General features: G+C 35.5%; 1 protein-coding gene across 16 annotated transcripts in view; it reads right to left on the bottom strand.

Annotated features, from left to right (window-relative positions):
- FSD1L (fibronectin type III and SPRY domain containing 1 like) overlaps positions 1–27,247 on the bottom strand; it is a 110,257-nt gene that overhangs the window by 58,449 nt on the left and 24,561 nt on the right. For 13 of the 16 annotated variants that reach the window (XM_017015185.2, XM_011519079.3, XM_011519078.3 and 10 more), the window contains 4 exons: positions 25,661–25,792; positions 21,980–22,081; positions 14,609–14,631; positions 9,483–9,604 (listed from right to left, as the gene is read on the bottom strand). In XM_017015185.2, coding sequence (XP_016870674.1) covers positions 9,483–9,604; positions 14,609–14,631; positions 21,980–22,081; positions 25,661–25,792 — 379 coding nt within the window. Of the gene's footprint in view, positions 1–9,482; positions 9,605–14,608; positions 14,632–20,664; positions 22,082–25,660; positions 25,793–27,247 lie in introns of those variants that run through there. The other 3 variants (XM_017015184.2, XM_047423948.1, NM_031919.5) reach the window with 3 other exon arrangements.

The raw sequence follows: 27,247 nt of genomic DNA, 5'->3' as shown, positions 1-27,247 counted from the left end.
CTCCAAGACACATAATTGTCAGATTCACCAAGGTTGAAATGAAGGAAAAAATGTTAAGGGCAGCCAGAGAGAAAGGTCGGGTTATCCACAAAGGGAAGCCCATCAGACTAACAGCGGATCTCTCGGCAGAAACTCTACAAACCAGAAGAGAGTGGGGGCCAATATTCAACATTCTTAAAGAAAAGAATTTTCAACCCAGAATTTCATATCCAGCCAAACTAAGCTTCATAAGTGAAGGAGAAATAAAATACTTTACAGACAAGCAAATGCTGAGAGATTTTGTCACCACCAGGCCTGCCCTAAAAGAGCTCCTGAAGGAAGCAGTAAACATGGAAAGGAAAAACCAGTACCAGCCACTGCAAAATCAGGCCAAATTGTAAAGACCATCGAGGCTAGGAAGAAACTGCATCAACTAACGAGCAAAATCACCAGCTAACATCATAATGACAGGATCAAATTCACACATAACAATATTAACCTTAAATGTAAATGGACTAAATGCTCCAATTAAAAGACACAGACTGGCAAATTGGATAAAGAGTCAAGACCCATCAGTGTGCTGTATTCAGGAAACCCATCTCACGTGCAGAGACACACATAGGCTCAAAATAAAAGGATGGAGGAAGATGTACCAAGCAAATGGAAAACTAAAAAAGGCAGGGGTTGCAATCCTAGTTTCTGATAAAACAGACTTTAAACCAACAAAGATCAAAAGAGACAAAGAAGGCCATTACATAATGGTAAAGGGATCAATTCAACAAGAAGAGCTAACTAGCCTAAATATATATGCACCCAATACAGGAGCACCCAGATTCATAAAGCAAGTCCTGAGTGACCTACAAAGAGACTTAGACTCCCACACAATAATAATGGGAGACTTTAAAACCCCACTGTCAACATTAGACAGATCAACGAGACAGAAAGTTAACAAGGATATCCAGGAATTCAACTCAGCTCTGCACCAAGTGGACCTAATAGACATCTACAGAACTCTCCACCCCAAATCAACAGAATATACATTTTTTTCAGCACCACACCACACCTATTCCAAAATTGACCACATACTTGGAAGTAAAGCTCTCCTCAGCAAATGTAAAATATCAGAAATTATAACAAACTGTCTCTCAGACCACAGTGCAATCAAACTAGAATTCAGGATTAAGAAACTCACTCAAAACCATTCAACTACATGGAAACTGAACAACCTGCTCCTGAATGACTACTGGGTACATAACAAAATGACGGCAGAAATAAAGATGTTCTTTGAAACCAATGAGAACAAAGACAAAACATACCAGAATCTCTGGGACACATTCAAAGCAGTGTGTAGAGGGAAATTTATAACACTAAATGCCCACAAGAGAAAGCAGAAAAGATCCAAAATTCACACCCTAACATCACAATTAAAAGAACTAGAAAAGCAAGAGCAAACACATTCAAAAGCTACCAGAAGGCAAGAAATAACTAAAATCAAAGCAGAACTGAAGGAAATAGAGACACAAAAAAACCCTTCAAAAAATTAATGAATCCAGGACCTGGTTTTTTGAAAGGATGAACAAAATTGATAGACTCCTAGCAAGACTAATAAAGAAGAAAAGAGAGAAGAATCAAATAGACACAATAAAAAATGATAAAGGGGATCTCACCACTGATGCCACAGAAATACAAACTACCATCAGAGAATACTACAAACACCTCTACGCAAATAAACTGGAAAATATAGAAGAAATGGATAAATTCCTCGACACATACACCCTCCCAAGACTAAACCAGGAAGAAGTTGATTCTCTGAATAGACCAATAACAGGCTCTGAAATTGAGGCAATAATCAATAGCTTACCAACCAAAAAGAGTCCAGGACCAGATGGATTCACAGCCGAATTCTACCAGAGGTACAAGGAGGAACTGGTACCATTCCTTCTGAAACTATTCCAATCAATAAAAAAGAAGGAATCCTCCCTAACTCATTTTACGAGGCCAGCATCATCCTGATACCAAAGCCGGGCAGAGACACAACCAAAAAAGAGAATTTTAGACCAATATCCTTGATGAACATTGATGCAAAAATCCTCAATAAGATAATGGCAAACCGAATCCAGCAGCACATCAAAAAGCTTATCCACCATGATCAAGTGGGCTTCATCCCTGGGATGCAAGGCTGGTTCAATATACGCAAATCAATAAATGTAATCCAGCATACAAACAGAACCAAAGACAAAAACCACATGATTATCTCAATAGATGCAGAAAAGGCCTTTGACAAAATTCAACAACCCTTCATGCTAAAAACTCTCAATAAATTAGGTATTGATGGGACGTATCTCAAAATAATAAGAGCTATCTATGACAAACCCACAGCCAATATCATACTGAATGGGCAAAAACTGGAAGCATTCCCTTTGAAAACTGGCACAAGACAGGGATGCCCTCTCTCACCACTCCTATTCAACATAGTGTTGGAAGTTCTGATCAGGGCAATTGGGCAGGAGAAGGAAATAAAGGGTATTCAGTTAGGAAAAGAGGAAGTCAAATTGTCCCTGTTTGCAGACGACATGATTGTATATCTAGGAAACCCCATTGTCTCAGCCCAAAATCTCCTTAAGCTGATAAGCACCTTCAGCAAAGTCTCAGGATACAAAATCAATGTACAAAAATCACAAGCATTCTTATACACCAACAACAGAGAGCCAAATCATGAGTGAACTCCCATTCACAATTGCTTCAAAGAGAATAAAATACCTAGAAATCCAACTTACAAGGGATGTGAAGGACCTCTTCAAGGAGAACTACAAATCACTGCTCAATGAAATAAAAGAGGATACAAACAAATGGAAGAACATTCCATGCTCATGGGTAGGAAGAATCAATATCATGAAAATGGCCATACTGCCCAAGGTAATTTACAGGTTTAATGCCATCCCCATCAAGCTACCAATGACTTTCTTCACAGAATTCGAAAAAACTACTTTAAAGTTCATATGGAACCAAAAAAGAGCCCACATCGCCAAGTCAATCCTAAGCCAAAAGAACAAAGCTGGAGGCATCACGCTACCTGACTTCAAACTATACTACAAGGCTACAGTAACCAAAACAGCATGGTACTGGTACCAAAACAGAGATATAGATCAATGGAACAGAACAGAGCCCTCAGAAATAACGCTGCATATCTACAACTATCTGATCTTTGACAAACCTGAGAAAAACAAGAAATGGGGAAAGGATTCCCTATTTAATAAATGGTGCTGGGAAAACTGGCTAGCCATATGTAGAAAGCTGAAACTGGATCCCTTCCTTACACCTTATACAAAAATCAATTCAAGATGGATTAAAGACTTAAACGTTAGACCTAAAACCATAAAAACCCTAGAAGAAAACCTAGGCATTACCATTCAGGACATAGGCATGGGCAAGGACTTCATGTCTAAAACACCAAAAGCAATGGCAACAAAAGCCAAAATTGACAACTGGGATCTAATTAAACTAAAGAGCTTCTGCACAGCAAAAGAAACTACCATCAGAGTGAACAGGCAACCTACAAAATGGGAGAAAATATTCGCAACCTACTCATCTGACAAAGGGCAGGTATCCAGAATCTACAATGAACTCAAACAAATTTACAAGAAAAAAACAAACAACTCCATCAAAAAGTGGGCGAAGGACATGAACAGACACTTCTCAAAAGAAGACATTTATGCAGCCAACAGACACATGAAAAAATGCTCACCATCACTGGCCATCAGAGAAATGTAAATCAAAACCACAATGAGATACCATCTCACACCAGTTAGAATGGCAATCATTAAAAAGTCAGGAAACAACAGGTGCTGGAGAGGATGTGGAGAAATAGGAACGCTTTTACACTGTTGGTGGGACTGTAAACTAGTTCATCCCTTGTGGAAGTCAGTGTGGTGATTCCTCAGGGATCTAGAACTAGAAATACCATTTGACCCAGCCATCCCATTACTGGGTATATACCCAAAGGACTATAAATCATGCTGCTATAAAGACACATGCACACGTATGTTTATTGCAGCACTATTCACAATAGCAAAGACTTGGAACCAACCCAAATGTCCAACAATGATAGACTGGATTAAGAAAACGTAGCACATATACACCATGGAATACTACGCAGCCATAAAAATGATGAGTTCATGTCCTTTGTAGGGACGTGGATGAAACTGGAAATCATCATTCTCAGTAAACTATCACAAGAACAAAAAACCTAACACCGCATATTCTCACTCATAGGTGGGAATTGAACAATGAGAACACATGGACACATGAAGGGGAACATCACACTCTGGGGACTGTTGTGGGGTGAGGGGAGTGGGGAGGGATAGCTTTAGGAGATATACCTAATGCTAAATGACGAGTTAATGTGTGCAGCACACCAGCATGGCACATGTATACATATGTAACTAACCTGCACATTGTACAAATGTACCCTAAAACTTAGAAGTATAATAATAATAAAATAAAAAAACATAAAACTGCAAAGAATTCAGCAGGCTGAGGTGAATTTACAGACTATTTTATTTTGCTTTCTTTTGTTTATTTTTAGCTCTTCCAAACATTTCTTTAAATATAATTTGTATTATTTGAGATATGCATGCTGTTTCAGTAATTAACTCTACATACAAAGACCTTGTCACAAACAGTGATTAGAAATTTTTACTCAGAACTCCAAAGCAATATTTACAAAAGTTTCTTATCGTAGATCAGTGGGCCCCAAAAAAGGCATATGTAGGCTTCACCATGCATTTTACCTAATAGGTGGGAGGATTGGCTATATTTGTATACCTGGTGCATTTCAGCCAGTTTTAAGATTATGAATACTCTACATCTATGTCAGTAAACACATTTTCCTTAGTTTCTGAGAGTCTATTTATAATAGTCAGCTGATATAGTCATTGTCATCTTAATCTTAATGCTTTTCTCAATTGACAGATAACAATTATAACTTAAAAAAATTGTACATGTGGAATTGTAAATTTCTCTGGCTGTAAGAAGGTTTAGAATAAAATGATGAGTAATTCATAGTATAATATTTGCCATCACCTCACGGTTTGTGTTAGCAGTATCAGTACTTATGAAGAACTTGATTTCCAACTTTATATCATGCCTTAATAAAAACATAAGTAGTACCAAAAAAAAAAAAAAAACCCAATGTAAAAAAAATAGGCCAAAGACCTTACAGACATCTCACCAAAAAAGACATACAGACAGTAAGTATATAAAAAGATCCTTCACATAATATGTCATTAGGGAAATTGAAATTTTAAAAAACAATAAAATACCACAATACCACCAATTGGTGAAAATGTGAAGCAACAGAACTCTATTCATTGCTTGTGGGAATGCAAAATCATACAGACACTTAGGAAGACAGTTTGGTAGTCTTCTATAAAATTTAACACACTTTTACCATACTATTCAGTAATCGGCATTTATCCAAAGGAGTTGAAAACTTATGTCTACACAAAAATGTGCATACAGATGTTTATAGTAGCCTTATTCATAACTGCCCAAAGTTGGAAGTAATCAACATGTGTTTCAGTGTATAAATGAATAAACCATGGCGCATCTAGACAATGGACTATTATTCCATACTAAAAAGAAATGAGCTATCAGGTCATCAATATACATGGAGGAAACTTAAATGCATATTACTAAGTAAAAGAAAGCAATGTGAAAAGGCTACTTACTATATGATTCCAACTATACAAGATTCTGGAAAAGGCAAAACTATGGAGAGAGTAAATAGATCAGTGGTTGCCATTGACTGGGAGTAAGGAACGATGAAAATATGGGGCACAGCGGATTTTTCGGGCAGTGAAAATACTCCGTATGGTAATACAATGGCAGATACATGCCAGTATACATCTGCCCAAACCCATAAAATGTACAATACCAGGAGGGAACCCCCAATGTAAACTATAGACTTTTCAGTGATAATGATGTGTCAGTGTAGGTTCATCAATTGTAATAAATATACCACTCTGGTGGGAGACATTGATAGTGAAGAAGGCTATGCATGTGTGAAGGTATATGAGAAATCTCCATACCTTTCATTCAACTTTACTGTAAACTTAAAACTGCTCTAAAACTACAGTTTATTTTTAAAAAGCTACAAATGTAAGAAAATATGTGTATTTTTACAATCTTGCAATAGTGAAGTCTTTCTAAGTAAGACCTTTATAAAATCTAAGAGTCACAAAAGAAAATTGTGATGTATTTGACTGCACTAAAATTAAAAATTTTGCTAGGAAAAAAAATCACCATAAATTCAACAGGCAAATGATCAAGGTGAGCAAGGATATACACCACATAGGACAAAGGTTGACTTCCTTAATACATTAAAAGGTCCTACCCTACATATCATTAATAAAAAGACTAACAATCCCATGAAAATTTGACAAAATTCATAAATAGGGAGCTCATTTTTAAAGTGGCTTATGAAAATATGACAAAAGCACAAACTCATTCATACTTAAAGAAATGAAAATTAAAACAATCATAACACATTTGTCACCTATTAGAATAGGAAAAAAAAAAAACCTGACAGCAGTGTTTGCAGCAGTATAACAATACAGGCATTCAAATATTTTCCAGTACATATAAACTGTGAAATCTCTTTGACAACTTAAAATCTACCCAAATTTAAAATAAAAATGTACTTCCACTTCCAGGAATTTGTCCTCAAGAGATAGTGGCACCTCTCTGCAAATATATACAAGTATTTGATCATTTCAGCATTGTTTCTAATGAAAAGACTATAAACCTAAATACTCATCAAGAACTAATTACATTCATACTATCTAGTCATGAAAAAAAATAAAGTGATGTACAGTGATCTGGAATGAACTCCTACATACTGTTAAGTGGCAAAGCAAAATTATATAACAATGTATATGTATGCTTCCTTTTTTTGAGTTCTTGCTGTACTATATGCTTCCATCTTTTTAAAGGAGGTGAATTATATGTTAGGTTTAATCACATGATATCGCCAAAAATTACCAATTACATGATTCTGTCTATATGATGACACTTTTACAGGCATAGACTGTTTCTAGAAAGATAAGCACATGCTAGTTAATGTTGGTAGCTCCTAGGGAAGAAAATTGGAAGTCTGAGATGAGAGGGCTACTTTATACTCTTTTGTACTACTTTAACTGTTTACCACATGCATATATTTTTTTCCAACAAAAATACTAAAGTAACTTTAATATGTAAACAGATAAGCAGGAAAGGACAACTTTCCTCTCTAAGTTGCTGAAATTTTTCTTTGCTCTCCACTCAGATGGAAATTATATTAGGAATGTTCTACATCTGATAGCTATATGAAGAAGGGTGAAATTCTGAAGTTTTAGGGTCATACTGGTGGTAAGTAGAGACATATGGTTAATGTGACTTCTAAACATATTTCCTATTTTCCTTTCTTAAGTAAGAAAGTTCACATTTGGAGATATATTCCCCAGTCTGAAATTTAAGTCCCTATCTCCCAAGAGTGAACATGAAAGTGTTCTACTTAAAAGTAAAACATCAGTTAACTGGTAACCTGTGCCACCTCAAATTTTCAAAACTAAAATAAAATCCAGCTTCTTACCAATGAAATTCTACATGTCAGATTGAAAAGAACAAACCATTTTAAATTATACGGTAATCAAAATAAAACTTTTAAAAATATTTATTCCTGCTTTAATATCAGTTTTACTCTTAAGTAGAGCCCTGTGAATGAAAATATAGAAATTCTGAAAGGCCAATGTTTAGGTAAACAGCCAATGACAAGTACACTTTCTTCCTCTACAACTACAGTTCCTTCTCTCATCTTTTCATTTTATGAACTCCTCTAGAGCTTCTAATCTATATCACACAAATTAGTATTTCACTTGTGCTACCCCCTTCCTAGGTTCCATTACAGTGTGAGAACTACTAACTTGTTTTTCCAATCGTATTTTAAAGTCACTGACCATATATTCAAGGAAAAAAGGAATGGTTCCATATAATCAACATTCTCTATTCAAAAACAGACTCCAAAAAAAAAAGTACTTGTGCTCACGCCTGTAATCCCAGCACTTTGGGAGGCCGAGGCGGGCGGATCACGAGGTCAGGAGATCGAAACCATCCAGGCTAACATGGTGAAACCCCGTCTCTACTAAAAATACAGAAAATTAGCCAGGCTTGGTGACGGCTGCCTGTAGTCCCAGCTACTTGGGAGGCTGAGGCAGGAGAATGGCGCAAACCCAGGAGGCAGAGCTTGCAGTGAGCCGAGATCGTGCCACTGCAGTCCAGCCTGGGTGACAGAGCAAGACTCCGTCTCAAAAAAAAAAAAAGTACTTGTAAGGAAAACATGTCACTTTCAAGAAATTCCTTGATCCCTCAAATCACCATATCTAAATAGTTTTAGTTATCAGCAACATGATGCAAAAAAAAAAAAAAAAAAAAAAACACCTAACCAAAAGGTTGTTAAGTCATATTCCTGACTTGTCCCCAGCAAACTCATGTTGAAGTTTGGTCACCAATATGGCAGTGTTGGGAAGTGGTGCCTTTAAGAGGTGATTAGGTCATTACAATGGATTAATGTCTTTCTCAAAAGACTGGGTTAGTTCTTGTGAAAGAAGGTTCTTACAAAGTGAGGTTAACTCTCTTGTTTTGCCTTTTTTGCATGTGTCTGGTTCCCCTTCTATGCTCCATCATGTTTTGACATAGCATGAGGCTATCACCAGAAGCTGCCAGATATTGCTGCCCAGTCTTGAACTTCTCAGCCTAGAGAACCTCTTTTCTTTATATAAATTACCCAGTCTCAGGCCTTCTGTTATGGCAACACAAAACAGACTAAGATTGGTTCTTAATTGGCTCTTTTACATATGTGAATAATTTAGGACTCAATCACAAATGGTTTTGGCTACTGCAATATCCTCATGTTAATACTTTAATAAAATAATGTTAACATATTACTGAAGATAAAGTTCCATCTGAGCCAACAACCACAATAATAATAATGATAACACCTAACATTCACTGAATTTTAACTATGTGCAGGTACTATTATAAATATTTTAGAGGTATCAATTTATTTAATCCTTATAAACACCCTAGAAGAATAACATCGCATTTTAAAGATGTTAAAAATGAAGCAAGTTAAGTAAATTGTTCAAGATTACATAGCAAGTAAGCAATAGGATTCAAACCTAAGAAGTCTGGCCTTGAGACCCACTGCTAACCATCACACCATACTGCTTCCCTCTGCCAAGCTAACAATAAGAGATCCCTTGATAGGATTCTGAAAATGCAATTTTTACTACCAATAAAATCTCTAAAAATAAAAAAAAACTAGCAAATTTAATTATTCCTTAGCTGAATGAAAAAAAAATCACACTATACTTCCTTAATATTTACAAACCAATGTTCACTGCAAAAAAATCTTGTAGAAAAAAAAAAGTTTTATACAAAACTTTACATGTAATACATGTATTTACCTGGCAAAAACTTCAAAGTTTGCAGCATCTGTCTTTCCTGTGAGAAATCCACCATTAAATGAGTCATGTTGTCACTGACCTTTGGTTTCAAAGAAAGGCGAAAGGCTGAAGCCATTGTGACTCTACGGTAAACACAAACATACTTTTTAAAATAAAGAAATAGGAAGTATCAAATCATATTTAATTTATAAAATGAAAAGACAAATTATATCACTAATAATTTCAGAGACTATAATAAAAGTTAAAAGTGAAATAGAAATTTAATCTTAGTCTTCAAAATTAACTAAATAAAAAACTACAAAATGTCTTTTTAAAGACATTTAAGACAACTGGTTAGCAACTTTCCTCCCAGCCAATTTTTATTAAATTGCATATATATGAATAACAACAAATATCCAATAAAAATAATCCTTACCAGACTCAACATTCATCTGAACCTCTGTACACTCAATCTTACTGACTTCCTGATGCCAGCCTTACTCCTTTTCATATGCCAGATAATGAACTTAAATTCATTTATATTCATTTGAATCACACCTTGATTCAAATATTCTCCCTAGTAATAAGAGCTATCCCATGTACCCTCAAATAAGAGTAGAGGTAGATTGACCTAATATTGTATAGTTTGGTAGTTGCTAAAGATAGGCCATGGATAAGAAAAGAGAGAAGTGAAATCACTATCAATGAATACCACACTAGGTGTCACTCTGATCTATCAACATCAGCTATAGGGAAGCCTACTGTAAGAAACAGCCCTGTGAAAAAGTATATGCCATGGAAGTAACAGGAATTCAATAAACATTTACTAGATGAATGTGGAGGGAAAAACAAAAAAAGAATGAAGCCACTTTATCCAAAGTACAGAGAATCTGTAGTCCATTAAAACTGAAGATTAAAAGAAATCCTCTTATTCTATTAATTTTTAATTTTATCTCAAATTTCAATTTTTCATATTCCAATAAATTTCCACAAGTATCACAAAGTAAGCCCCTTACTATCTTTGGTTCAAGAATGATCAGAAGTACTACAGGTGAACACTGTCCTCCTAGTACACAATTTGGAAGGGGAAGGAAACAGAGCTGGTGGGACAAGGGGAATACTAGGCCTAGTCAATTGTATCTGCCAAATCAATTGGATCTGCCAAATCTACCCAAGAAGTCAATGAAATGAAAGATGTCAAACTTGCTATATTCACTTATTTTAGGATGAAAAATGTCAAGCTATTTCTGTATTTAGTTATTTTACTTCATTTTAAAACTAGTAATAATTTAATAGTAACAATGAGTAAACAACAGTTGATGTGTTTATCAAGAAGAAAGTGCTATACTGAAATATAATTTACAGCAAAGGGAATTCACACTGACTGCTTACTATATGCCAAGTATAATGCTGAGTATTTCATGCATACTACACTAACCCGTCTCTCAAATAATACAATTTCAATAAAAAGGAACAAATACTAAGTCCTACATATGTTATTCTTTACAGCCCCAAGTATCTTTTGATTCGAGGACATCTGAAAGAGCTATAGTCAGATACGTACTTACTAAATGCTCACTGAATCAGTGCATAGGTTAGAACCTACTTGGTTTATTCAAAACCTGACTAGATATTTAAATGTTTACTGAGAAATGTTGAGAAAAAAAATCCGAAAGTATTTTAGAGAATTTTAAACCTTAAACCTGTAAGATTTGATTCAATCACCATGACATCAAAGAAAAAGAATATGCCCCATAAATGCATTAGAAAGGCTTATCAAAGCTTTAAAAAAAACAAGAACAACTCTTATTTTTTAGTCAATGAAAACTTAAGTTTCCATGAATCAATTTAGATGGGCAACAATGCTACAATCTTTCAGAAGACTGAACTTTAATTTTTAACTTCATGTATTTAGACATGTGCCTCAAAGCCCAAACTAAACATCTAAAATTCATTAGATAATTCTCTACACTACAGGATCCAGAAGGCTAGGTATGCTTTAATTCCCCTTGATTTTCTTAGTTCATTTCTACCAGCACAAGGTAAATTCAAGGATCCTTCGCTCCTGATTTTTGCAAAGAGAAAATAACTACAAAACATAGTTTTCATTTCCTCAAACTACCTAATTAACTTGACTCTTTCATAACCCCTCTCTTTCAAGAACCAATAACTCCTGCAATATACCTCAACTAATCATATTCCAATATTATTAAGTCCCCAGAAGTACATGCCAGTAATTCTATAAAGTTATAGAGATGTGCTATTATCTTATTTCTATCTTGAGTTTTCTCTCTTAATCCTGCTGTTCCTCTGTGTAACTTCTACCATAGCAAATGATAAATGATGAGTTTTCACAGACATTTTCATTTTTTATATTTGATTTCTTGCTCAGATATGTTACACATTCTCCCTTAAAATCCATCTATGCCCTTATAAAAAGATAATCCTAGGGCGGACATGGTGGCTCATATCTGTAACCCCAGCACTTCGGAAGGCTGACGCGAGAGGACAGCTTGAGCCCAGGAGTTTGAGACCAGCCTAGGCAACATGGCGAAACCCCATCTCTACAAAAGATACAAAAAAATTAACGGGGCATGGTGGCACGTGCCTGCAGTCCCAGCTGCTCAGGCGGCAGAGGTGGAAGGGCCCCTTAAGCCAGGGAGGTCCAGGCTGCAGTAAGCTGTGATTGTGCCACTGCACTCCAGCCTGGGTGATGGAGCAAGACCCTGACCCAAAAAAAAAAAAAATCCTTTCTTTGCTTGGTGAAAATAGCTACAGTAATTATTTTATTATGACTACGTTTAAATTATTTTTATATTTTAAATGACAATAATGGAATTCTAAAAGCTCACTTTTGGCGAGTACCAAAAACTACATCAGAGAAACCTGAACATTATAAAGCTAAACATCAAATTTTAAAAATTAAGTTGAAGGGCCGGGCACAGTGGCTCACACCTGTAATCCCAGCACTTTGGGAGGCCGAAGTGGGCAGATCACTTGAGGTCAGGGGTTCGAGACGAGCCTGGCCAACATGGTGAAACCCCATCTCTACAAAACACACACACACACAAATTAGCTGGGTGTGGTGGCAGGTGCCTGTAATCCCAGCTACTTGGGAGGCTGAGGCAGGAGAATCGCTTGAACCCGGGAGGCAGAGGCTGCAGTGAGCCAAGATTGCACCACTGCACTCCAGCCTGGGCAACTGAGCAAGACTCTGTCTCAAAAAAAAAAAAATTAAGTTGAGAATCAGAAATGTTCCTCGGGCAGGAAGTAAAAATTCTGCAGGGGATCACAAAAATGCTATAGGGTTTGAACAAGCAAAAAAAAAAAAAAAAAAAAAGAACCACACACACACACACACACACACACACACACACACACAGAGTTTGCCTGAACCCTAATTCCTGAGATCACCTGGATACTTATGAAATCAAGCCAAGAGGCTGGCTTAGAAGACGCAAAAAACCCAAGCTTCAGTGAAGAATACAGCCATTGAAATTGGTCATGAAATTAAATTCTGATAAACAAATCTGGGCAAAGACAAAGAGTTTAAGGATACAGACAAGATTCTGTGATGCAAAGAGCCATATAGAATCTTGAAAAAAGGACAGATTTTGCAAGGTCATGATTAGGAAGTAACTTCTAATTCAGAAAATTAGGAACTAGAGCAGGATGCAGTGGGATAGGTAGCTAAACAGTAAGTATAATATACCCAGGGAGGAAGATGGATGACTCATAGCAATTTCCAGACACAACCCAAATCTACCTTATCCACAAAACTGACCTATCTAGCATCCATTCCTCACACAGCTAATATTTTTCACCTTCAAACTTTCACAATCATCTTTCTAGATCCAGGATTTATAAGAATGATCCATGTCTTTAGCTACTGCCTGATGTAAAATATACAAAAAATATAAAAATTAATACAGGACCAGGCACAATGGCTCACACCTGTAATCCCAGCACTTTGGGAGGCCAAGTTGGGCGGATAGCTTGAGCTTAGGCATTCCAGACCAGCCTGGGCAAAATAGCAAGACCCTGTTTCTACAAAAAATACAAAAATTAGCTGGGTGTGGTGGCACATGCCTGTAGTCCCACCTATTCAGGAGGATGAGGTGGAGGATCACTTGAGCCCATGAGGCAGAGGTTGCAGTGTGACAAGATCGCACCACTGCACTCCAGCCTGGGTGCTAGAGCAAGACTCTGCCTCAAAAAAAAAAAAAAAAGAGAAACCCAGAAGTAAAACTGTCAGCCAAGATTAACAATAGAGGCACTGTTTTTCACATAATCTATAATGAAAATTTTTGTGAATTATCTGATGAAGAATAATTTAATCTAGGATTTGGAGTGGCACTTTGAAGAGCTGTGCCTTTCAGAGAATCTCATGACCCTCAGATGAAAAAACTTGCTATAATCTCAATACAGACAATACTCAGTGACTAGACAGGCAGATCCAAACTGTTCCTTCTGTGTTAATGCAATCCAAATGTTGCCAGCAACTCCTTTAGCAATCTATGTTCATTACAAGTACTAAATTCCTTTTCTTAAGCCTGGCTCTACCAATAAGAAAGAACTTTTAAACCAAAACCTTTAATAATTTTCTTTAATTTTCTCTTCCCACAGAATATTAACTAGATAGTGGTGGCATTAGAAATAGAAAGAGATGGCACCAGGAACAGGATGGAATGAGAATACAAGGTGTTAAACAGGAGGGCAGTGAAATAGGAGCGCTTTAGTTCTTGAGGACTACTTAAAATGAGTGAGTTCAAAGAAAATAAGACCCACTTACATTTAAATTTAACAACAAAAAACACATTCCAGAAATATATATTTTTAAGTTATTCAAAATAGTTCCCTTTTCATTAGTACAACTAATTAAGAACTGTTCTAAAACTAAAACTAACTATATTTCTACACCAGAAATGAAATTCTTCTGAAGCACATAATTATCCACAACTATGCTTTTAAAAAATTTTATTGATACAATGGTTATTCCAAGAAAATACACAGAGGACATTTTATTTTGTACTTGGTCATTGGGTACTTTTATCTTAACTAACACAATTTTAATTAAAAAACTATTTCTGAATTTCATTTCTGACTTCAATATTTATACTTAAGTAAAAATGTGTTTTATACCATACCTATCCTTGATCTGTCTGGCAGCCTTGGAGCCAATCAGGGAGAAGAGAAAGAAGGCAAGTTAGTGCTTTTCATGCAAGTTTCAATGGCAGTGACATGCAAGAAAAGTTAGGATATAAACCCTGCAACAGATTAGTTCATATTCACCAAAACACAAACTATAGAAAATTTATGTGTATAGTTCACATAAGCTTTCATGTGATGTTAGAATTATAGTAGAAAATCCAGACCCCACAAAAATCACCTTTTAGGAGGAAAATTTAACACTTCGAACAAATTCCAGGTGACTATAAATGTTTTATTCTTACCTTAAGATTATCAAAACACACCTCCACTTTCATTCAGTCTGATACTCATCAACTAGAGCAACCAATCTCCTTCATGGGACAACTTCCTTCATGGTTTTCTTGTACATGTCAAATTTACTCTCTAATTTTTCTTCAGAGATCTCTTTCACTACTTCATAATCGTTGTTCCAAGTTTTCTCTATATGCCTCTATAGGGCAAGGAATTCTCAGAGTTTGCCTGCTAACAAATACAACTAGGCTGCAATTCTATAAACCTTTACTCCAAAGAAAGTTGTAATGGCAGAAATTCAGACACAAAGAGACCAGAGAAATACTTCTAGCAATGGGGTCTTTCTCCATGATGATTTCATACATGCTACCAACTTAAACCTATATATAAGGTATCTCTTTTGTCTTTTTTTTTTATGCAAGCACAAGTTTAGAAAGGGAACTCAGCTATTTACTTGGGGCTGCATGGTCACACAAAATAATAAAAAACAAGTAAAAACTGTTGTCCCTTTTATATTTACATACAATATATCCAACAAAAGTTTTTTTCTCCACAGTAACCAGTACAGTTAACAATATATCAGACATAGACAAGGCTGTTTTGCTCAACACTGTATCCCCAGTGCCTAGCAAAAATGCTTAGGACATAGTAATACTTAATAATTATTAAACTTATTTGAATGTTAATTAGATATATGTAGCAATGCTTCTGTGGCCTCTCTTCTTCAGTTCTAACGTTGTTCCTATTCATTATTGGTCATTTTTATATCCACCCTAAAACATTCTGGTCTGAGGACTCTTTCTACTCAAAAACACAGAACTCAGATTTTTTCTTTTTGAGACAGAGTCTTGTTCTGTCGCCCAGGCTGGAGTGCAGTGGCACGATCTTGGCTCACTGCAAGCTCTGCCTCCCGGGTTCATGCCATTCTCCTGCCTCAGCCTCCCAAGTAGCTGGGACTACAGGGACCCGCCACCACGCCCGGCAAATTTTTTTGTATTTTTATTAGAGACGGGGTTTCACCATGTTAGACAAGACAGTCTTGATCTCCTGACCTCGTGATCCGCCTGCCTCAGCCTCCCAAAGTGCTGGGATTACAGGCATGAGCCAGCACACCCAGGCAACACAGAACTGAGATTTAAGAGATCAGCATATTATACAGTCTCAGCATTACTATTAATCAGTTGAGACCTTGTATATTAATCATTCTATTTCTTTTCTAAGGAATTTTGTTTCTTAATGTTTCCGAAAATCATTCCCACGTGCTACACAAACAAACAAATTCTGTGGAATCTGTATCTTAAGTCATGAAACTACTGTAGTACCAGAGATAGAAAATGTTTAAAAAGTTAATTTAATTGATTTTTTAATTACTATCATTAAAGCTGGAATTACAAAACAAAGATTTTAATGTAAGTGTTAAAGGAAGGAAAGAAAGGACTCTTCTCTGTACCTGATATGAAACAAGTACTACCAGGATTACTCTTTGCCTCTCCATTCCCTTATTTCTCCTAGGAAAATGATATGACTTATCTGATAATGGGTTTGAAAGGAGAAACTAGACTTTCTGCTTTTTCTCACAGCTTGCTTGCCCACAGATAACATATATTCTGTTCTTTCCCTCTGTACCATAACTTTCACTGAAAGAGGCTCCCCCTGCCCATCACCTGAGGCAGCCCCTGCTGATCATGCCTGGGTGAATTTGTCTGTCTAATTCTAGGTATTTAGTATTGGGAAACTTGCCCAATAACAAAAGCCATCTTTTCCAATATGCTTTTATCATTATTTGGCCTCTTATCAGTTTTTTTTTGTCTTATTTCCTAACTGGTTTCAAACTTAGAGAAATATTACCAATCACCCTTGCATAACCCAATGATATGAAGACGATTACCGTTTTTTAAACTGACCACAATGATTCAATTTTGTGTCAAGTGTTACTAAATTTAATAAGGTAAAAATTTTTAGTGTGTGTGTGCACATATGCATGCATGCAAAGCTTTTATGGTATCACTTCATGTACCATGCTGTTTGTGAAAAACCAGGAAAGGAATAAATGAAAAGCCAGATAATCTAGGAAAAACTGTTGTCCATGCATTTACATAGAATATACCCAGCTAGTAAAACTGAAAACTCCCATGGCTCCACTTTCATTTAGGTTCAAATTTTACTGCATATATATTGTATAAATGCAAGAGAGGTTTAAGAAGTTATTCTGAGCAATGATTAGAAGGCAGAGTTTCAAATTCTGAAGATATTTCTTTGAAAGGGCCCAATTTCAAGAAATGTCTTAAATTGGAAAATAATTTTTTTTTCTAGAATTCTCTCAAAACAGAAAGGTATCCAAAAGATACACAATACTATACAGCTTCTAAGTTTCTATTCCTCTATTTCAAGAACGGTGACTTTTGTCAATTACAAAATTGGCAGAAAGGATTTCAATAGAAGATCTAAAGAGTGATGTTGAGTAAAGTAATATAACTAAGCTTCTTGGAAGCTTTTCAATAATATACAGTACCATAACCTAAAAATAAATCTAAACATTCATTGCAGCTTCTTCATAACTCACTACATGGAATTATGTAGGCTCAAATAAATGTGTTGGCAACAGAGCAGTGGTAAATCTTGGAATCAGCTGGTACTAATTAAACAGATGTTTGACAAAATTCAGCATTACAATTCTACTTAAGGAAGTTTGGTCTCAGGTGACACTTCTATGACTGATTAAAGAAATGGAATTGTAAGATTTAGTTTAAAAACAATTAACTAAGAGATGGAGGGAGGCAATGAGGGAAGAGAGAGAGAGAGGGAGAAAGGAAGGCACCATCTCTGATATGAATGCAGAGAAACTGTAATACGAGTAAAGAAGAAGTAATCGCAAACCAATCTTCATAACTGCCAATTAAATTTAAAGACGTTAAACCAGATATTTTCCCAGTCACATAGAAAAAAGTTAACAGATCTTTTCCCAATCTCTTTTGTTCTTAATCTGTAATGGGTGAATATAGAAACTATTTTCTTCTGTGAATTTATCAAGCACTTTGAAGATAAAGTATCTTATTGTTTCTATCTTTTTTTAATATCATCATTTCTCTTTTTATAGAAAGGGAGAGGGAAAAAGAGCCTCAAAGCCTTATTTTCCTTTAGGCAAAAATATGTCTTTGGAAAAAAAAAGATTGCACACCAGTTGATTCCATACATTAGAAGTTTTGTATTTGGTAGACATATATTTATCTGTTCATAAAAGGAACTATTTTTCAAAAAGCATGATCATTTGAAAGAATCTGTCACAAAAGCCCCAGTGAATAACTTGAAATACACTTTGAAATACAGTACTGTCCGCAACTGTTTTATGATTAGGCATATTTGTACAATAGGAGATTGCATTTCTGTAAGACATAAACACCAAGAAATGAAATTAAGGTGAAAACTACAATTTGACCTGTGCTTAACAAATATTTAGATCTGTTTTTTTATATTGTCCTCAAAACTGAAACATTCACGCTTTTGTTGAAGGTCCTCTCCTCTCTCCTAACATTCTTAACTTCAGCCTACAGAGGGAGCTTCTGGCAGTATTTCTGCTTACTTGATGAAAGTACTGAGTGAGCTTCTACCCACTCCTCTTCTTATTCACTCCTTCCAGTGGTCAGAGCCTAACACTCAATGGACAATATTCTACAGGCGAATCATTCATTACAAGTGAGATGTGGGAAATACACTAAACCCATTCTCCCTCTTCAGCTGTGATCAAATGCAGAAGACACTGTTCCCCTTTCACCCAACTGTACTTTTTATTCCATTATAGGGACCCCATGGATAGGAAACTATTTTCTCCCTTCTACTCTGACAACCGGAGCATGTGTGGCATGATTGTGATGGCAATTTAGTTACACTGACTTGGAAATTGTTCCACTGACCCAGCTCTTTCTATAGAGAGAAGTCAAGGTCTAAAGTCAGGGTGGGAATAGAAATACTAATTTTGGTAAAGGATCCAAGCAGTGTTCTGCAGGCCAGCTATTAGCAGAGAATGCACATTTGGTGGGATGTTGCCAATTTATTAAGTCCAGGAATAAAGCTAATGATCTGGATCCCATTTGCTGGTGATCCGTCTGCATAAATTTACTACCAACCAAACTTCTAGCAGTTAAAAAAAATTAGTGAAGGTATGTTCTAAAATCTTTTTGCATTTGTGCTATTTGTATTTGTTTACTTTCAGAAAGTAAAATGCCAGTAAATAGCATAACTTCACATTCAGTTCTCATGCTGAGACACTGCAATGTGATAATTTAAATATTAGAACTTGAAATATTCTTTTTGAAGATAATGAAGTATGAAAAGACACACTGCCTCAATTTTTAGCCTATGCTATTTTTTTGTCCTCATGGGCCATTCATATTAATCTCATTTAAGCACTTTAATGTGGGATATTCACAAATAGTATACCTTAAATGAATTTCTTTTTCCAGACATCTAACAATATACTGCTAGACTAGTAATAATCTCCAAAGTCATCTCTCCCTATTCAGTCAGCAAGTAGGTGTTTGAGGCAGGCCTGTAGTCCATGTAGCTGGCTAGGAAAGTGAACTTAGTTTTTTACTTGAAATCAAATTATTATCTGGATACTATTTGGACATATGAAGAAAATAATTGCAAGCAGCTCTCAGTTAAGCATTTTTCCTAAATGATAAACCCAGATTTCTGGCTAGGAAACACTGACAGATACAGTAATGTGCCACATAACTACGTTTCAGTCAATAATGGACTGCATATACAATGGTGCTCCCATAAAATTATAATACTGTATTTTTACTATACCCTTTCTATGTTGAGATACACAAATACCACTGTATTGCAATTGCCTACAGGATTCAGTACAGTAACATGCTACACAGGTTTGCAGCATAGAAGCAACAGACTATACAATACAACTGAGGTATGTAGTAGGCTATACTGTCTAGGTTTGTGCCATTACACTCTAATGTTCCCACAATGATGAAACTGCCTAATGATACATTTCTTAGAAGACATCCTCGTTAAGCGACACATGGTTGTAATTCATTTCACCACATCTCCAAATGGTTTAAGCTACTAAACAGTACTATAAACTGCTGCAAGACAAGACCCAAATAGTAAGAATAAGCGAAGTGGCATATTAAACCACAATGTGACTTATTTTATCAGAACCTTTCTAATTTATAATCTGTCAGGAACAAATTATAACAGAAACAAAGCTGGAAAGAATAAAGGACAGTGAAACAGAAAAGGGTAGCATTTGGGAGAAAGAAGACAGAAGAACTCTAAAAATGTCAATAGAAAGAGAAACGTGGGAGAAATAAACTTTTATCATAGTTTTTCCAAGTATCAGTCTCTCCTTAAATCAACTGGATTCAAGGCATTTTTGAGTATTAGTGTCCACATTCTATAGTTTTCCTGTCTTCTTCCTCACTCTTAGGCTGTCAGTTGGTAATTCTTGCTACTATGACTATGCCTGTCATTAACAACTGCCCTACTCCACTAAAAGGGGAATTTGTTAACAAGTAGAAAACAGAAAGAAAAATACTGAAAATAGTAGCAGTATCAAGTACAACAGTCAACAGATTCTGAGAAATGATCTTGAATAGAGGACATTAACTCTTGTCCATGAACTCTATGATGTTGATTTTGATGACTAAGACATCTTTTGCTTTCTGCATGTTTCTTAGCTATGTTCCAGACACTTAAGGTTATCACATGAATGCCCTCTAAATAAGTGATATAGTGCTTTTTTTGTTTTGTTTTGTTTGAGATAGGGTCTCGCTCTGTTGCCCAGGCTAGAGTGCAGCAGTGTAATCACAGCTCGGTGCAGCCTCAACTTCCTAGGCTCAGGCAATCCTCCCATCTCAGCCTTCGAGTAGCTGGGACTACAGGTGCACATCACCATGCCCGGCTAATTTTTTTGTGTATTTTGTACAGGCAGGATCTCATCATGTTGCCCAAGCTGGCCTCAAACTCCTGGGCTCAAGCAAACCACCCACCTTGGCTTCCCATAGTGCTGGGATTACAGGCATGAGCCACCATACCTGGCCAACATATCATACTTTTAAAGTACTTTTAAATATAGTACATTTCCCTTGTAATTCCTTTATATAATAAGTCCACCTATGTGCATTAGTAAGCTTCTTTACAACTCACCTCCAAATTTAAAGAATTAATTCATGCATTGGCTTACAGCAAAAGAACTTTTGTTTTGATTCATGTGTTTAAAAGAAGAAATCAATTAAAGTTCAATTTTAATATCCAAAGATGTAAGGTGGCAAATGTTACCTTCTCAAGGAAGTTTTTTCTACCTTCAAGTTCACAGAAAATCATAAAATGAAAACAATCACTAGGCATAAATCAGTTATAAAGCTACCTTTCTAACACAATGCAGCTCACTACATACTCCACAAAGGTGAAGTAAATAACATCAAACTCAAATTTTATCTTGATAACTACACAGTAATTTTTGCTAATTATATAGCTTAATTTCCAAATCTTTTCACATCATTTTAAAATATATTCTACATTTCTGAGTTTTGATTTGACAAAATGGTAATCATTTAAAATGACCCTACTTAAAAAAAAAATTACAATTTACAATTTACAATCACTTAAACACCAGGATCTAAGTTAAAACATTAGCAGGCTTCTTGCTCTACTTTTTACATTTTTATACTAAACATATCCCTTAAGTAAGGATCTACATTTCCATGTTGTAATAAAACATTCAGTTACTTAAATTAAGCAGTGGGGGCATTTATCTGCAATAAGAAGTTACACAATTACAGTGCTCATGTGCATAAAGTGATGATGCTTTCCCAAGCAGCTCATAGACAGAAACACAGAAACACTTTTTAAACATATTTGTTGATGACCCTAAAGACACACACTTCTAAGTGTTTGCTTTGGAATAAATGAACAGCCAGCATTTTACTTATCAAGAAACCCCAAGGCTTTATTAGTATTAGAAATCAGTAAAGAAATCCAAAACTAAAGAAAAACAAAAACGCCTTTTTAAAAATACAACTTCCCTTGTTAAGTGTATTAATGCAGTTTTTGTGTACCTTTGAAAATTCTTCAGGTTCCTTTATATCTAATGACCTTGTTGCAAATTCTAATAGTTCTTCAGAGTTCTCCAGGGCATTATTACATTGACTAATCTGACTCTAGGGAAAAAAAAAAAAAAACTAAGTCATTAAAATGAAGTTTCCTATTGCCATTAGAATCTTAAATATATATTGTTATAATGAACTTACAAATAATTTTAATAGCAATAATAGAGGAAAAACATTTCAGTGAGCTATTGTAGCAAGATAATCAAGTTATATATATATATATATATATAAAACGTGTTATTTTTTTTATATATATATAACAAATTTTAATTATCTTAATACTTTGTACCTCTTGCCATAATTTATCGAAAACAGCTTCACTGCATACAGGTAAAGATACACTCATCATTTAAAACAAAAAGGGACCTAAGCGAAGCTTAGTCCACTGTCATTAATTAAAAACTAGCAATTCAAGATACATAAAGAATATGGGACAAGTAGGAAGTATTTTTCTAAACCTAAATGGCAAGGTTCCTGCTCTAAAGATGAATGCTCGCAATTCAATTTTATCTAACAAACTGCAAGTTTTAAAAATGTTTCTATTGGCTGCTCCTAGCTCCCCTCTAACAATGCCAGAAGAACAAACTGTCCACATATATTCAAGCAGAAAGAAGGTCCCGACAAACAACAGATATCAATGAGGCACTAGGAACTGAGAGGTAACTGAAAAGGGAAAATATTACCAGTTGCACTGGAACATCACTCATGCCAGGGATGGCTAGGGGGTTGATCAAGATGCATAATGCACACTCAATATGCAAAAGACTTTTTGGTACTTGATGGGAAGAAGGAAAGGCAAGAGAAAAGACATGACCCATGGCCACTTTGGTGGCAGGTTTAATATGCAGTATGAGCTAGGGTGACAGAAATGTTGGCTAGTGGTAGATGAAGACAATTAGAGCTGCTCTGGTAAAGAAAAAGTACAGGGAGGGAAAAGGGAAGGTTGGAGATTAAGCAACTGGATGCTTAAAGGCCATTCCAAAGTGGTGCTGTGAAGAAGGGTCTGGGTCCAAAACAGAACAGAATTCTGCACAGGATGAGTTTTCAGTTGGATCTTCAGGTGATGCTGAGTTGTCCTTTCTTCTACAGTGTTTTGTTTTTTAAATGAATTCATTTCTTATTAGTATTTATTGAAATGTATGGAAACTTTATGAATAAACGAATTATCCTTGAATTATTTAAGTAATACATCCCCCACCCCCAAATATGAACAACAAACCTCAACCTGGGTAGTATGGACACACTTCGAAGATACAGTATCTGATCCTTGGAAATTGTGCTTTTATGGTGTGTATGTAAGATAGAAAGACAACATATGTGTTTTTCCACAGCTTTTAGGTGCTCAAAGATATCTATAACTCAAATCAACACACAAAAATTTGCATTTCTACATACCAATAATGAACAATCCAAGAAGGAAAAAAAAGAAAAAATCCACTTATAATAGTATCAAAAAGAACAGCATACTTTGAAATAAATTTAACCAACAAAGCATGAGACCTAGACACCCAAAACTACAATACAATGCTAAAAGAAATATACAACAAAAATAAAGGGAAAGACATTCATGTTCATAGATTGGAACACTTAATATTGTTAAACTATCCATACTACCCAAAGCAATCTATAAATTCAATGTAATCACTGTCAAAATCCCAAGACATTTTTTGTAGGAACAGAAAAAATATATATAAAATTCATGTAGAATCTCAAGGGACCCTGAATTGCACAATTTTGAAAGAGAAAAAAGTCGAATGCCTCAACATTCCTGATTTCAAAATACCTTACAAAACTATAGGAACCCAAACAATGTGGTACTGGCATAAAGACAGATACACAGACCAATGGAACAAAACAGACAGTCCTGAAATTACCCTTCACATATATGATCGAATGATCTCTGACATAGGTACTAAGGCCAAACAATAGGGACAGGACAGTCTCTTCAATAAATGGTGCTAGGAAAACCGAATATCCACAAGCAAAAAAATAAAGTAGGTCCCTTACTTAACACCATACGCAAAAATTAACTAAAAATGGATTAAAGACCTAAACATAAGCTCTAAAGCTCCTAGAAGAAAACATAGAGGAAAAGCTTCATAACACTGTATTTGTCAATGATTTCCTGGATATGACAATGAAAGCAAAAATAGACAAATTAGATGACGTAAAACTTTAAAACTTCTCTATATCAAATAGAACAACCAACAGAGTAAAAAAGTAGCCTACAAAATGGGAAAAAAAAAAAAAAACCTGTGAATCATACACCTGATAAGGAGTTAATATCCAGAATGAATAGAAAACTGCTGCAACTTAACAACCACCAAAAACCCCAAGTAACCCAATTAAAAGATGGCCAAAGAACCTGAATAGACACTTCTCTAAAGAAAATACATTGATGGCCAACAAACACGTGAAGAGATGCTCAACATCACCAGTCACTAGGGAAATGCAAATCAAAACTGTAATGAAATATCATGTCATACCCATTATGATGGCCACTATCAAAAAAAAAACCAGAAAATAAAAAGCACCGGCAAGCACATGAAGAAATTGGAACACTTCGGCTGGTAGGATGTAAAATAGTGCAGCCACTATGGAAAACATTATATAGAGGGTCCTCAGAAAATTATAAAGAGAATTACCACATGATTCAGCAATCCTACTTTGAAGTATACATATCCAAAACAATTGAAAACAGAATCTCAAAGAGATATTTAAACCCCCACATTCATTGCAGCATTATTCACAATAGCTAAGAGGTGTAAGCTGCCAAAATGTCCGTAGACATATAAATGGATAAAGAAAATGTGGTATATACATAAGTGGAATATTATTCAACCACAAAAAAGGAGGAAATCCTAGCACATGCTATATAACATGAATAAATCTTGAGGACATTATGCTGAGTGGAAATAGGTCACAAAAGGACAAATGCTATGATTCCACTTATATGAGACATGTAGAGTAGTCATGGAAACAGAAAATAACATGATGATTGCCAGGGGCTAGTAAGAAGGGGAAATAAGTTGTTGATCAAGGGACATAAAGTTTCACTTGCACAAGATGAAAAAATTCTAGAGATCTGTTATACAAAAATGTGAATATATTTAACACCATCAACTGTACACTGTACAGTTTAAAATGGTTTAAGAGAATTGGCTGGGCATGGTGCCTTACGCCTGTAATCCCAGCACTTTGGGAGGCCAAGACGGGTGGATCACCTGAGGTCAGGAGTTTGAGACCAGCCTGGCCAACATGGTGAAACCCCGTCTCTACTAAAAATACAAAAATTAGCCAGGCATGGTGGTGGGCACCTGTAATCCCAGCTACTTGGGAGGCTGAGGCAGGAGAATCGCCTGAACCTGGGAGGCAGAGGTTGCAATGAACCAAGATCACTCCAGCCTGGGTGACAGAGTGAGACTCCGTCTCAAAAAAAAAAAAAAATGGTTAAGAGAATAAATTGTTTTTTTAACAACAATTTTAGAATACTTATGGCCAAAACAAAAAACCATTCTTCTACGAGGTAAGGGTATAGTTATACTTAGAAATTCATTAATTTTTGCTTATCATAAATCAAGGATTAAATAGACTAAAATTATCCATATTTCAATAGCTGTATGATCTCACCTGTAACTCTTGGGATTTACGAGCTTGTTCCTGCTTGATACAGTTAATCATACTTTCTTTTACTTCATCCAGTATAGAGTATAAACTATCAAATTCTTCATCTAACTCTGAGAGTATGTTGGACGAATTTTCCTGTTTAAAAAACAAAACAAAACAATTTTACTGAAGCGCTATCAAACATTTAAAACCTAAAAGGTATGCCCAAAAGAGAGAATAAATTTATATTACAAACTATGTTGGCCTAATATAAAAATAACATAATTCTAATATTTGACTTAAGGCTTTAAAAAGAGATAAATGCAACAAACTGCCCGCTAATGCTAACAATACTGTTTCAGCTATACTATCAGTTAAGTTGTCTTTTATGGACTAGCCCATACTCTCTTCACTTTACTGTTTCCACAGGACAACATGAAAGGTTGTTTTAACGTTCCCAACTTCGTCCAGACCTTCAGTCTCTCAGGCAGACTCTAAGCCAGTGGTTCTTAACCTCTGGTGCGTATCAGAATCACTGGTGAGGTATTCTTATAAAATATTCCAGAGATTTTAATTCAGTAATTCCGAGGAACACTTTGCACATACAGAAATGAGGCGGATTTTGTCTAAATTTTAAAATCTTTCAGGGTCTCTAAAACACTGCATTTGTGTAAGATAAACAGAAATTAAAAGACTAAGCAATTATTTATTGGATCCTAAGATATTTATCAAATATTAAATCATCTAATGACTAGAATTTGTAGTCAAATCCTGTATTTTATTAACTAAAATACAGATAAGTTACTTGCCCAAAGCCATACAATTAGTTACTAGTAACATGGTCAATAATGCATTTCAAGTCTCTTGAGTTCCCCATTGCTATATTTGCTGCTATTTCAACAAAAAATAACTTGAATTATTTGTAAAATCCCTAGATAAGCAATATCCACACTTGCAACAATTATGAGATAGAAGAAATTCTCTTAAGACATTTTTCAACTTGGATGAATCATTCAATTAAGAGAAGCGAACTGGCACTGACTAAGAGAACTAATATATACAATCTACTGTAATATTATATGTCCAAACTTTTGCTTATAATGTTTATAAAAACTAGATACCTCACAGGCACCTCATCAAAGGTGGTGGTAATTATTTTACTAGTCTATTTACAGTAGTAAGAACAACTATAGAAGTGGAATGTGCAGTCAGGAAGGGAAAAAACCTAACTCAAATCCCACATTAGCCACTCAGTAACAGCATGACCTTATACAAGGCACTTAAATTCCTAGACCTCAGTCTATTCATTCATAAAAAAGAAACAGACTATTTTCCTCTCAATCACCAGATGGCATCTTGTTGCCTTTTGCCTACTACTAAGCTCCCATCTTCAGCAACGAGGTTGTAGTTTAATTCCCCCACTACTTTTTTTTTCTAACGTTAAGGTAGAATTCTAATAATTTATCAATCAGAAGAATGGTTTGAGCTAGCTCTACATAAGATCTCTCTTTCCAGATACCAAATGTGATGATTCGCTTGTCCACAGATCAAGAGCTTTATAGCCATGAGTTTTATGCTTATCTAAAGAAAGCTGATTCACCAATTTTCCAA

Source organism: Homo sapiens, chromosome 9 (assembly GCF_000001405.40).
Source record: "Homo sapiens chromosome 9, GRCh38.p14 Primary Assembly".
In the NCBI taxonomy this organism is placed as follows: domain Eukaryota; kingdom Metazoa; phylum Chordata; class Mammalia; order Primates; family Hominidae; genus Homo; species Homo sapiens.
Note: the sequence above shows the minus strand (reverse complement) of the source record. Positions and strands in the feature narration are given on the sequence as shown.